Below are 13,891 nucleotides of genomic sequence, written 5' to 3'. Positions count from 1 at the left end.
GTAACTTATGTATGTAGACAATTAAAATTTAAATGAATAAGGATCCAAAATCCAATAACAACAGTTTCCCAAAGTGTTTTCCCAAAATAGTCTTTCATGATGTTCCCTGCTGCCTGCACACTGGAAAAAATGGACTGAAGGCCAGCTCGCCCCATTTTTGTTCCACGGTTGAAGACTCTCAACATTAAAATAGCCTTACCTCTTTTCTGGATTTTTTCTTTGCTGAGTAGGAAGAGAAGGTTGTGGGAAGAATTCTCCTGAGAGGTCAAATCAGGGCAAAGCTGGTTTTCTTATAAATATCTCTTTTCTTCCAGTGAATTTCCAAAAAAGACTCCCATGCCTGCTGATGTGCTTGCTTTATGTCTCTTGTTCTCAGCCTATGATCAAATAGGCAATAGGGGAACATTCTGGCTCCACAGACTGAGATAGCTTTAAAGGGGTGGAGCCCTGAGTCGCTCTGTTAGTGGAAAGATGTCTTACTTTAAAGTATGCTGTAAAACCTATCATTGTAGCAAGATAGCCCTGTACATCTAGTACTTATCTGTCCTATCAGCACTGACAAGAGTAATTGCATTCTTTCCCTGGTGAATCAGTTGCTACTTCAGGCAGCCATTATCTTAGTGGATGGCCCATGTTCTCCAGAAACTTGGTGTTCACCTCCAGGATTTGAAAACCTGAACTGGACTGGTGCCACTATTTCCTCTTGGCTCAGAGCTGTTGGTTTTACATGAATGGCCAATAAAGAATAGCAATCCTTCGTCCCAAATAGTAAAGGAGCAGAGAGTTAAATTCCACACTTTAGGCTTTTGCTTTGCTTTAGGATCTTAAAGAGAAACATAAATTCAGGAAGAAAATAAAATAAGTTGTACTGAACATAGCAATGCCATCAGTTTTGGGATATAAGCACTTTTGAGTAAGAATGTTAACTAAACTTCTCTGTCATTCTGTTTTGTATCAGCACGGAAGTTATGGAAGATCTGCAGAAGCTCCTACCTGGCTTTCCTGGAGTCAACCCCCAGGCTCCATTCCTGCAGGTGGCCCCTAATGTGAACTTCATGCACAACCTGTTGCCTATGCAAAACTTGCAACCAACCGGGCAACTTGAGTACAAGGTACCTAGACATGGAAGAGGGCTGGCTCCAGAAGAAACAAACTTGAGCTTCCTTTGAGAGGCTATGAGGCACCTTCCCTAGGACTTAAGGGTTTACTTATAGAGAAAGATGATTTATCTTGCAAAGTAGCTCGGGTGAGCGGGAAGCGTCCTCTAGTCTCTGTCATGACCCATGGCTCCCTTAATTTCCATAGATGAGTGGCTTGCCCCTTTCTCCCCGCCTTCCCCTCATCTCATGGTCCGTCCTCCCCACTCTGTTCCTGGCAGGAGCAGTCTCTCCTACAGCCGCCCACGCTACAGCTGTTGAATGGAATGGGCCCCCTTGGCCGGAGGGCATCAGATGGAGGAGCCAACATCCAACTGCATGCCCAGCAGCTGCTGAAGCGCCCACGGGGACCCTCTCCGCTTGTCACCATGACACCAGTGAGTAGCAGCACAGAGCCCAATTCACTGTCTCAGAGGCTTTTGATAAAAAGGTTGTGAGCCTGGGGTTGGGAACCCAGGGCCAACCTACATGTCTGAATTTCCTTTTTCTCCAAACTTAGGATGCTCCAGCCCATTTTCTTCAGGCCAGTAGAGTTTTCCACACTTTATTTTTGGCGAACTTACTTACTTAGCCAAGTTATTTCTACATTGAACTCCACTCCTGGAGAGCTTTTTCCTCAATGGGCGCTCACAGGTACCCTGGTTAAGTCCAGCTGCACTCCTGCCAGCTTGGGGCAGGTAGCAGCCTAACTCAGAGCCTTCTCCCAGGCAACCTTTCCCTGCCAGAAGGCCAAAGTGCCCTTAAATTAATTGGTTTCTAGACTGGCTTCCAAAATTGCCTTTTCACTAATGCTTTCTCCATTGATAAACACACCTCACATGTTTGGCATAACCTGGATCACTTGATGATTTGCTCCCACAGCTTTAGCCGAGTCAGTTATCTTAGTCACATGTCCTTCATATGATAGTCACATTCAGAGATTTTTTTTCTCCCTTGGGTTCTGTTTATTTTCCTGTCATAGGTCATTCATTCATTCATTTATTCATTCAATCTCATAGTACCATAAGATTGGGTAGTAAATATATCCATCACCCTTGGAGATGTTGTAAGGGCAGTGCTGCTTTGAGGACCCTTTTCCCTCCTTTAATCCATCATGGGTTAATCCCTTGTAAAATATAGTAAAAGTGAAACATTAGAACAGTGAAAATTTAAACACATATAAAATACAAGGCATTTTTTATTGAGTTCAACAGACAAAATTACTCTGTTAAATTGCTAAAAGTGTCTCTTTATTTATTTTTTTAAATTGCTAAAAGTTTCTGAAAGCCTTTTGTTGATTTCTGTACTTACCTTATCATGAATTGGTAACAAAACAGTTTGTGGGCATGGGTCCATGGGCCACACTTTCAGTAATGAAAGAATTATATATCATAGCCCTTGCCATCACTGACAAGATCAACATATGTGAAGTATTTGACTAATAGTACAAGATCATATGTGATTAAGTACCACAGTAATAACATGGAAAATTAGGTGGCAGAGGCATTCAGAGATGGGCAAGACAGGTTTGGAAGGATCATGGTCAGCTTTATGGGACGTGGGGTGACTTACTGTGTCTACTGTAACTGTTTTTGCCAAGGTCGCTAACAAGTTCTTGTTGATAAATTCAGTGGACATTTTTAACCTTTTATCTTTTTGGACGTCCCAACTGTATTAATCACTGTTGACTTCTTTTTTCCTTGAAATATTTTCTGTTCTTGGTGTCTGTGGCACCACATTCCCTGTGTTTTCCCCCACCTCTCCTTTTCACATTTCCTTTCTGCTTGTTCCTTGAGGTTGGCAAAACCCAGAGTTTTATCCTAGGCCCTATTCCCATGTCCTTTGATGTACTCTCTCTGGATGAGTTTGTCCACTCCTGTAATTTCAGTTACTCTCTGATTCTCCAGCCCAGAATGCTCCTCTGAGTTCTACACATACGTGTACATGACTGCCTATGGGATAGATTTAGTTGGTTATTCCACAAGTATTCACAACTTTAATTCAGCATGTCCCAAATGAACTTACCATGACTCTGTAAAACCTGCTCCTCCTCTTGGGTGACAGTGAATGGCACTGTCATTCTCCGGGTTACACAAGCTAGGGATGTGAATTTTATCTTTAACTCTTGTCTTTCTTATTTGCCATATCAAGTCAGTTGTCCAGTGCCTGTGAATGAAACATCCTCTCCACTTTCCTTTCCTTAACTCAGGTCACTGTCATCCATTGTGTAGATGAACACCACGGCATCCTAACTGACTTCTTTGCTTCCAGTCATGTCCCCTGATCCCTGCCACCAGCCCTTTTCACACTGCAGCTAGAGTAAGCTGGCTTTTGCAAATATAAATCTTTATAACATCATGCCCCTGCTTAAAATCCTTTAGTGATTCACCACTGTTCTTCCTCAAACTTCTTAGTGTGTTATTCAAGACCATTTGTCACTGGCCACAGCGTTCCTCTCCTGCCTCATCTACAGCCACTTCCTGCCTCACCCTGTTCACTCCACCCTTGTAGAACTGTGGGAAGGGATCCAGGAACCCTGGGAGCTTTCCGACAAAATTATTCCAGGAGTGTTTTGTTTTGTTTTGTTTTGTAATTAGCCATTTTGTAAAATACTCTTTTATAATAATTGAAGTGTGATTTTTGTTCTAGTGACTGGGGCATGGTGATGATGTGGGCACCCAGGCTATGGGTAGCTAGCAAGGATGCAGATGGGAAAGTCACAGTGATACAAGCATTGTGGTGGTTCTCATTTCACTCACATGTTTTGGCGAGTAACAACTATTTTAAAGCAGTGAATTGATACTACACAATTGTATCTTATGTACCAAAATGTAATTTCAGTAATTCACTATGCTTTCCTGGAGTTAAGACATTTAAACTCCGGAAATCACATTAATATGAAACAACAGGTCAAGTCCTAGACATTTCAGGTAAACAATCTTCTACTGTATTTTCGGGTCCTCAAACACCTACAGGCCTTCTCTTTTCTTCTGCCTGGAAACCTGTAACTCCTGTCCCTCTTTGCCTGACCAGCTCCTGTGCATCCTTCAGGTTCCTGCTAGGTGCTACCTCCTCCAGGATGCCTTCCTTAATTCCCAAACACCCCCATTAGAAGACTTGATCATGCTATTTTGTAATTGTTTACTTGTCTCTATCCTCTACTAGACTGTAAAATGAGGGCAAGGTCTATGTCTGTAAATTCACATTTTATCCTGTAACAGTAAGCATTTGGCTATTTGTTAGATTAATAAATGAATGAATGAAGATAAATAAGAGGAAGAAATTCTAATTAGTATTACCTAAGCAAGGTAAAAATGGAAAAATAGGTATATGAAAATCCTGTATAACCCAGGAGTCTAGAAAAGTTCTGTAAATAAGAAAGTTAACAGAAAGTCCTGCCCCAAGCCCAGTTACTAGAGTAAGAGGCATGACAGAATAAGCTGCCACCTTGAGCTTTTCCTTCCTGTCTCTCTTCAGGCAGTGCCAGCAGTTACCCCTGTGGACGAGGAGAGCTCAGACGGGGAGCCAGACCAGGAAGCTGTGCAGAGGTAATGTGACATCTGGCAGTGCTTGCAGAAGCCCCTGGGCAGGCTCCCCTGCAACCAGCGAAAGGTCACCTCTGCCCAAGGAGGTGGTAGAGTGCAGCTTCAACATTTGTGTGGTCTCTTTGCTCAAGCCAGATGGCATGTTCCACCCCACATGGAAGTAACAGAAGACTACCCAGAAAATGTCATTTCTGTAAGCACCATTGGAAGTCCCCTAAGTGACAGCAATAACCATAAGAACTTTTTCTTTCCTCCCTCCTTCTTCCTTGTCCCCTGCCTTCATATTGCAACTCTGATAGTATTCACAAGGCACAAAGCCTGCTCGTACCTGCCAAGAACTGTTTACTGAAAAGGAATTGGAGATGTGGGATGACAGTGATCCTAGCTAGTCTGGCCATGGACCTCTGGCATGGACTTTTCCTTTCCAGGAGAATGAATACCTCTTGTACTGTTTGCTGTGTGCTTCTTCCACCCCCTTGTACCAACAAAGAGATATTGAAAAAGAGAATATGGGATTCGGGCCAGGGACAGATGCAAATATCCATTGTTTACAGAACCTTGTTGAGAGATGCCTAACTCACAGAGAACGGCAGTGACCATCAGGCATGCTGTACTGTTCATTTGGCCTCAGTTCCGTTAGCCCTGGTCCTTAGCTCCATGCATGCCCCCTTGTGGGAGTTGATTTTCTTATTATCCGGGGAGGGGGTTTCACCAGAATCCAGCATGTATTTTCCCAGAAATACAGGTGTTCTTCAAGATTATATGTTTTTTCCTTTGAGGGAAGTTGAAATAAAATGGTTTTCATGGGCTTTTGGGGAACTTTGGGTGTCTTTATCCAATGGTTATTAAAACATTAATGGCTTACTCTTTGGCAAGTTCACATAACACTGATTACTCTACAGTCTGTTAACTGATTTTAGCTGAAAGGGGCAAGATAGTTAAGAATGAAATGAGACCATTTTTTAAGAACCTGCCAGTTGCTGGCTAGGACTCTCATCCTATCCCCAGTAGCTCTGTGTGAGAGCTGCTATTCAGAAAGCAGCTGGTCCTATGTGGAAAGAAAACCATGGCAAACAGGGGTGTTGGCAGGTGGGCCAGCTCCTTCTACAGCTTGGCCAATAGAAGGAAAATTCTGGTAACTTTTTTTTTTCCTTGATGCTGTTGTTTCTATAGTTTGCTGATAAGAGGGTATATAAGGTTACAAATGGGCCCTACTGGGTCATGAAGAAATGAGAAATCAGGAAATTTACTGCCTTTCTACCTTAAAAGAGACAGCAATATTTTATCTTCTTTGTCTTAGACTTTCCTTCCTCCAGGTCTACCTTCTTTCTTCTTTAGACCAACATTTCAAGGGTATAATGCCCATCAGTTTTGATGTAATAAAAAAGGTGTAGTGCCTCTTTTATTCATGCCTCCAGAAGAGCAGCAGCGGTGGAGGAAGTCATCCACCAGACAAAGAGGGACAATATCTTATTGATGGTATTAACTAAGTGCTGGGTCTGAAAGATCTTCCGAATAAAAGCCATCAGTTTGGGAACTCTTCGTCTTGTGAGACTCTTCTGTTTTTATTTTTTGCCTTGCTTTTTCCCTCCCTAACTAAACATTTCATGTGGTTTTATTTCTTCATCCTCCACAGAATGTTGGTTCCCCAAGGACAACATCAGTTTTTCTTCTCTGATGATTGAGTTATAGTCACCAAGCGAGAGGGAAAGGGTGGTTTTGGAATTCATTTATCCTCAAATGGAAGGATCAGTTTTCTGTGACCTGTAGTGAAGAAAGTCTCAAACCTGGGGCCTGTGAGATCGAGAGACATGCACAGAGTCCTTCTGAATATCTCCCCAGGTTCATCTCTAGGAATAGTCCTTAGGGCTCATTTCCTCTGACTTGTATTTTGGAAATTTGGAGGGAAAAGATGAATAAATTAACATGGAGAAAATAAATTCTTCTACCGAGTAGAATGAAGCAAGGAAAAGTGATCTCATCTTTGTGAGCTAGATCTACTTTCTCTCTTCTCTTCAATGGCTATTCTTAGGTTCAAAATTCAGCCACTTCATTGTCAAGCCAACTTCTGTTGGCCAGTTAGACGTGTCTCACTTCCATCCAGGCAGGGATCTGTTTGCCATCAAGCCTTCGTGAGCTCTGGCACTATTTCATTGAGTGCTTTGGATTAACTTCTAATGCTTCTTGTGGAGGAATATTCCTGTCTGTCTTTTTTACTATGAAATGTGCTCCTGCTTGTTGCAGGTACTTGGCAAATAGGTCCAAAAGACATACACTGGCCATGACCAACCCTACAGCTGAGATCCCACCGGACCTACAACGGCAGCTAGGACAGCAGCCTTTCCGTTCCCGGGTCTGGCCTCCTCACCTGGTACCTGATCAGCATCGGTGAGTAGCCACATGAGCTGTGCGAGCTCCTTGAGGCTCATCGGACAGGCACCCTTCTGATTAGTCTCACAGCGACGGTGACTAGCATCGTGGCTTTAAATAGAAGCCAGCTGTCATCCTGAACTCACATCTTCTCAGCTCCTTGCAGTAAGCAATGCACAGGGCAAAGGTTTTTTACTGCGCCCTGGAGCAATGCGAGATTCCTCTCTCCCATTACCTTGCAGACCTGTTTATTGTCTGCATTTGATTCCCATGATTCTAGATGTTGATTCATAGATAAAATTGAACTTGAGACCTGCAAGAAAGTGAAACTCTCAGAAGGCCACCTGGAAACAGGAAGATTTTTAGCCATATCGATAGACTTGACCTTTAATAATCCATCACCTTCAAAAGAATGAGCATTTCATATCGTGTTACCATTGAACCGCCAGCCTGGAAATGAAGACAAAGCCCCTTCTGAATAGTAGAGCAGAGATCCTCTTGAGCGATGTATTTAAGAGGTCATTCTTTCAATATTCTGATGGCAAAAATCTTTTGCTAGGTTCGGTTATGGTTATAATCCATTCTCTTGAAGAAATAAAAGCAAGTTTAACCTTCCTGACCAAGAAAACTTCATTGACTCCAAGTAAGCCTGGAAGCAGCTGCGGAATGACACTTTGCTAGTTGAAGAAGATGATTATCTTCTGTGACTATCTTGATGACTAAAAATCTCAGTCTTGGCCACTCCGAAGCTATCCCCAAGCTCATGGCCCACACGTTCAAAGCCACCACCAGTTACTAGAGCGTATTTTATTTCTGTCTTTTGGGGAGGACACTGAAAAGCAGCCTTGGGAAGGTTGAAAAGCAATCAGATTCCAAGGAAACTAGGTTTATATATGTGGTGTTATGAAATCTTGCAGCCAGCTTGCACTGGCAAGCTTGACACATTTTTTTTACTGAGGCTGGTTACCCATTTGGCATCAACATAATCAGCAGAGGCAAGTGAACTCTGAGCAGAGTGGGACATAATTAGTGCCACGTTGGAACCCTAAAAGAAGGAAGATAAGCTTTCATAAATGACTATGAGTAACTTGGTAAAAATGGTCTGTCAGGAGTAGCAAGAATGACAATTCTCAAATAAAACTCTGATGGCACAGAAAGACAGGCTTTTTCTAATGAAAGTCTCTCAGGACTTACAGTGTTCGTACACACTAAAGAGCACTTTGAGGCCAGGCACGGTGGTTCACGCCTGCAATCCCAGCACTTTGGGAGGCCGAGGCGGGTGGATCACAAGGTCAGGAGTTCGAGACCAGCCTGGCCAATATGGTGAAACCCCATCTCTACTAAAAATACAAAAATTAGCCGGGTGTGGCGGTGGGCGTCTGTAGTCCCAGCTACTCGGGAAGCTAAGGCAGGAGAATTGCTTGAACCCGGGAGGCAGACGTTGCAGTGAGCCGAGATCATGCCACTGCACTCCAGCCTGGGCAACAGAGTGAGACTCCGTCTCAATAAATAAATAAATAAAGAGCACTTTGAGTGATTACTGGAGACCTGCCTTCTCCTCCCCTATACGTTTCCTGTGATTTCTCATAACTTCAAGCTCTACACTGGTATCTAATACACCCTTTATTCCTTCTTTTCTCCTTGTCTCCTTCTTCCCTTCCTCCACAGCCTGACACTTAATGTTTCAGCCCTTGTCTGAGTCTGTTGTTTAGCTGAAGTCCTTTAGGTATCCTTGTTGAATGCTAGGTGTTCCTCAGGAGGTCTTCTTATGAGGGGAACATGAAGATCGTCACATTTCCAGAGTCAGGCTTTATCACAGACCCTATATTCTGTTGACATTTGTTACTCAAGGAGGTCCACACTGGACCACAGCTCTGTCTGTGTGATATCCACCCTGCCTAGAGTCATTGTCAAGGCCTTGCCTGCTGGAAATCTATCTGCTGTCTGTTTTCATGTGAACCTTTTTGGTGTTTTGAGGGTTGCCTGTGGCCAAGCCTATTTGAATTGGAAGAAAATGATGTTTTATGAGTGGCAAATTGCATAAGATGGGGCATTTGTGCAAACCCAGCATGTCTTGATGGGATCACTATACAAATATGCAGCAAAAGAGATTAAAGCCAGTCTTCAGGGGAAATGAGAAACTTTCCAAGGCTATAAAACATGGAATACGGGTGGCCTGCATGGGTTCTTGAATTCCTTTCATTTTCTGGAGGAAATGATTAAAGAACAGTATATATAGCTATCCTTCTGGGGTAGAAGAGATGAAGTTCAACATGGAAACAGAAGAGTGGTCTAATCAACCTTTTCATTTCTGGAAATGTGTAATTTAAGGTTAAAAATGTTTTAAAAAGTGTAACTAAAAAATTTTTTTAAACTAACACAAGATAGATTTTATCCAGGTGGGAAACCAAGTCCCTCCTTGAAGAGTATAGTGTGGGAGTATCAGCCTAATGCGAGGCCATCCTGAATTTGAGTGTGATTGCAAATAAAAATAAAATCAAGCACAATTGATACTTATCAGTGCTTCTCAAATGAGCAACTGCATCAGAACCGTTCCTCTGAGGTTACTGTGCTGGACTGACCTGGGTATCAGTCTCTTCACAACCTGAGCTTCTGAAAAAGTCATGAAATACCTGGACCTGGGATTTTCTGTGATGGGAGAGAATTATTTTTGTGCAGAAAGACTGTATTGCTACTTGAAGAACATGGCTTTCTGAGGGGATCAGAAACATGTCCATTTCAGAAAACATTGAAAGCATAGGAATCAAATTTTAGGAGAAAATAGTACTTACTTGCTTCTACTTCAACCTGAAGTAGAAACAGAAATGACAAGTTATAAGGAAATGCTTCTCAACACAGCCTTCATGATCCCTGTTCCTGGATTGTGGCCCGCCAAATTCATTTGTTTTTTGTGTTGCTGAACCAAATACATGTTCGTGCTCATTTCATTAGCTCACTGCTGGGTCAAGCCTCAGGTAGAGTCTGAAACAAAAGCCATCATTAGCAAAGACAGGGTAAAAGGCTTTCACCTGCTGCCAGAACTCTCTGGATACCTCTGCACGGTCATTAGATTCCTCCTGGTCCCGCGCTGTCTGCATTGTATTTGAACTCGCTTGTTAACCTGCTTCCTGAGCTGTGGTTCTGCTTCAGTCCCAAATGAATCACTGGCAAGGTAGCACATCATTTCATCCAAAGTTCAGTGTAATGGCATCTCTGCCCTGGACATGAAACCCTGATCCTTTCCATCTGCTACTGGAATGCTGCTGCCTTGGCAGTCTTTTATCTGCTTACCTCAGCCCATAAACATCTCTTTCTGATCATCAGGTCACAAGAGTAGGTGTTAGCTTCTAACCCCGATGCTGTCTTAGGCATTCCTTATCAATAGCTTGTTCTTTCTTTCTGTAAGATTCTGGCTGTGTTCCAGTTGAGCAGTGGGGTCTTTGAAGGTAATCCATATGATTCCTCTTTCATTAGGAGGTTGGGTGAGTGCTGCTGCTCTGAGAAGTTGATTTTCACAGTAGGTGACCTTATTTGTTGACCAGGTACGTGCAGGATCTCAAGGCCCACATTCCTTAAGAATTTGTTGTCTCCATCCCAGGATCAGAAGTCTTCATTTTCCCCCACCCCAATCGCCACCTTCTATTTTCTGTCACAGAACCTATGAGTTCTAGGCCAGACCTTTGACCACAAAACTGACTGTTGTTTCCCTCTGGCCATACGGAGATCATTGCTCAGGGAAAACTTTGGCTCAAATGGTGAATTTAAGGTTTCTAAAGGCACTAGATAGACATATGATTATAAAAGCAAGAGCTTCTGTACAGTCTGGCCTGGAGGATATTGAGAAGCTTTTCTCTCTGGCCTAGTGTATTTATAAGAACTGGATGTACTTGATCTCGGGACCTCACCAGGCTTGGAAAGTAAGCCAACCGAAGGTAAGTAGAAATGGAAGATGTACACCTGGAGCCCTCTAAAGGGAAGCAGGCTAGGGAAACGACTGATGTCTGGAAATGGCATGAAAGTGGCATAATATGCAGGGCTACCTGGGCAGCCAGCCGTCTTTATGTTCATCTGGAACAGCAGTCCCTGTGTGATTTGGTCAAAGCCCCTGAGTCCTAGCCTCTAACCTTCTCTTCCCATATATTCAGCTCTACCTACAAGGACTCCAACACTCTGCACCTCCCTACGGAGCGTTTCTCCCCTGTGCGCCGGTTCTCAGATGGGGCTGCGAGCATCCAGGCCTTCAAAGCTCACCTGGAAAAAATGGGCAACAACAGCAGCATCAAACAGCTGCAGCAGGTAATGGAAGAGGTGGCAGGCATCCCTGGAGGAGCATGGGTGACAGAGGCCAGGATTGCAGGAGGACTGGGGTGGTAAACGTACCCCTTTTATGTCAGCAACATTGCAGTTTTATAGGTTAAAAAAGTATAGCTTTCTGGGCCGGGCGCAGTGGATCCCGCCTATAATCCCAGCACTTTGGGAGGCCAACGTGGGAGGATTGCTTGAGCCCTGAAGTTCTAGACCAGCCTAGGCAACGTGGCAAACCCTTTCTCCCCCAAAAGATTAAAAATTAGCATAGTCCCAGCTACTCCTGAGGCTGAGATGGGAGGATCACTTGAACCTGGGAGGTAGAGGTTGTAGTAAGCTAAGATCACACCCCTGCACTCCATCCTGGCAACAGAACGAGACTCTGTCTTAAAAGAAAAAGAAAGTATAGCTTTCTAATGCACTTTCTTTACTTTGTGTTATGTACAGCCCTCCCCAGGATCAAACTTCCTTCCCCTGTGAAGGGACTAAATTTTTCTCCTGTCTCTAGTTCATTGGAAAGGAATTTCTGGGCTTGGGTTTCTGTGGGAACCACCAGAGAAGGTGCTACTTTTTTTTTTTTTTTTTGAGACCAAGTCTTGCTCTGTCACCCAGGCTGGAGTGCAGTGGCACAATCTCAGCTCACTGCATCGTCCGCCTCCTGGGTTCTAGAGATTCTCCTGCCTCAGCATCCTGGGTAGCTGGGACTACAGGCGTGCACCACCATGCCAGCTAATTTTTGTATTTTTAGTAGAGACAGGGTTTCACCATGTTGACCAGGCTATGTCTCGAACTTCTGACCTCAGGTGATCCGCCCGTCTCGGCCTCCCAAAGTGCTAGGATTACAGGCGTGAGCCACCTTGCGCGCCTGGCACTCTGCGCATGATTTAGGATGCTGGGTCTTGATTAAACCTGCTGTACATTGTTACCACCTGGCATTCTCTCCAGGTGGTATGGAACGGCACTCTCAGAGGAAGGAAATGTACCTCTATATGTTTCTGTACTATAAAGATTCTATAAAGAGCCAATTTCCTTTCTGCCTTCCTGATGACCAAGCTTCCAATGGCGTGTGCTTTGTACACAGATTTCACATTGGACACTTGTACTCATACAAAGGCCATCCTTGATGTTTTCCATTCATTCATACAGAACAGGATGTGAATCTATTTAGTGCACCAGATACTTAGGTAAATGAGTTAATTGCTCATCAAGGACACTGTTCTCTTGCGGCTCTTTCTGCCCATGAGAGCTTGGAGGCAGATCTGCATCTGCTGAAATCACTGCATGAGGCGGGTCTGGCTGCATCCCATCTGTATTAACTACTTTCCCTTCAGGAGTGTGAGCAGCTGCAGAAGATGTACGGGGGGCAGATTGATGAAAGAACCCTGGAGAAGACCCAGCAGCAGCATATGTTATACCAGCAGGAGCAGCACCATCAAATTCTCCAGCAACAAATTCAAGTAGGCCCTCACTCTTTGCTTTCTCCAACTTGTTTGGAGTTTGCTTTCAGGCTGATTTGCCTGTGCATTTTGGAGGAGACCACTCAGTGCAAAGTGGATTTGAGGTCTGTTTATGGTTGACATGTTTGAGTAAAGGTAATCAGACCTTCTGGTGAACAACAAAAGCATAAATCTGAGACACAGATAGTTCTTTCTGTTTCTTCCCTTCCTGAGAATAGCTCTGAGTAATCTTCAAGCTCACAATAATTTTTTTCCTTTCCCCATATATGTTTTAGGACTCTATCTGTCCTCCTCAGCCATCTCCACCTCTTCAGGCTGCATGTGAAAATCAGCCAGCCCTCCTTACCCATCAGCTCCAGAGGTATGAGTCATTTTGTGTTGTGCCTAAGCCATTGTCTCGATAGCCTGGTACCCTTGGCTTGACTCACTGGGAGATATGGACTGACTTGAGCATTCATCTTGCAAGAATCTATTTGAAAAGGAGAGAAACCACTGTAAATTTCAGGAGCCTTCTTGAAATCCCAACTTCCTGTGCCACTTCATTTCCTTAGCCCCATGAGCAAAGTAATCTGATATCTAATACAGGAGCCAGACATAGGCCCACAATGAACTCTGCCATTTTGGCTGAGTTCTTTTCAAACAAGATGTAGATAGGTTTTAAATACACTGTGGTGGATGGCTTATGTATATTTTTCTAACATGAGGCTTATCAAAGTAAAAAAAAATAGTTTCCACTGATATATGTTGTATGGCTGAAACTTAAGATTGTACTGTCACCTTAGGAAGCTTCTTTGTGTATCTCTTTTGTTATTTTTAAGGTTAAGGATTCAGCCTTCAAGCCCACCCCCCAACCACCCCAACAACCATCTCTTCAGGCAGCCCAGTAATAGTCCTCCCCCCATGAGCAGTGCCATGATCCAGCCTCACGGTGAGTGGAGAGGTTCAGACCAAACAGTTCATTTTATGCCACATGGGAAAAAATGATGGTCTCAGTTTTGAGCACCATAAACCATTTGAAAGGCAGAATAACATAGTATTCAGGGGTATGGACTCTAGAGCCAAGCTGCTTTGGTTTGCA

The 13,891-nt window shown here is 43.7% G+C and overlaps 1 protein-coding gene across 18 annotated transcripts in view; it reads left to right on the top strand.

Moving 5' to 3' along the window:
- The window catches only part of SIK3 (SIK family kinase 3), a 255,027-nt gene that overhangs the window by 223,414 nt on the left and 17,722 nt on the right, over positions 1-13,891 (top strand). For 10 of the 18 annotated variants that reach the window (XM_005271482.5, XM_011542722.2, NM_001366686.3 and 7 more), the window contains 8 exons: positions 959-1,112; positions 1,379-1,534; positions 4,614-4,684; positions 6,926-7,069; positions 11,197-11,347; positions 12,688-12,813; positions 13,089-13,174; positions 13,632-13,741. In XM_005271482.5, coding sequence (XP_005271539.2) covers positions 959-1,112; positions 1,379-1,534; positions 4,614-4,684; positions 6,926-7,069; positions 11,197-11,347; positions 12,688-12,813; positions 13,089-13,174; positions 13,632-13,741 — 998 coding nt within the window. Of the gene's footprint in view, positions 1-958; positions 1,113-1,378; positions 1,535-4,613; positions 4,875-6,925; positions 7,070-7,610; positions 8,209-11,196; positions 11,348-12,687; positions 12,814-13,088; positions 13,175-13,631; positions 13,742-13,891 lie in introns of those variants that run through there. The other 8 variants (XM_017017424.2, XM_047426672.1, XM_005271484.4 and 5 more) reach the window with 4 other exon arrangements.

This window comes from Homo sapiens, chromosome 11, assembly GCF_000001405.40.
Source record: "Homo sapiens chromosome 11, GRCh38.p14 Primary Assembly".
Classification (NCBI taxonomy): Eukaryota; Metazoa; Chordata; class Mammalia; order Primates; family Hominidae; genus Homo; species Homo sapiens.
This window is presented reverse-complemented; position numbering and strand designations above follow the sequence as displayed.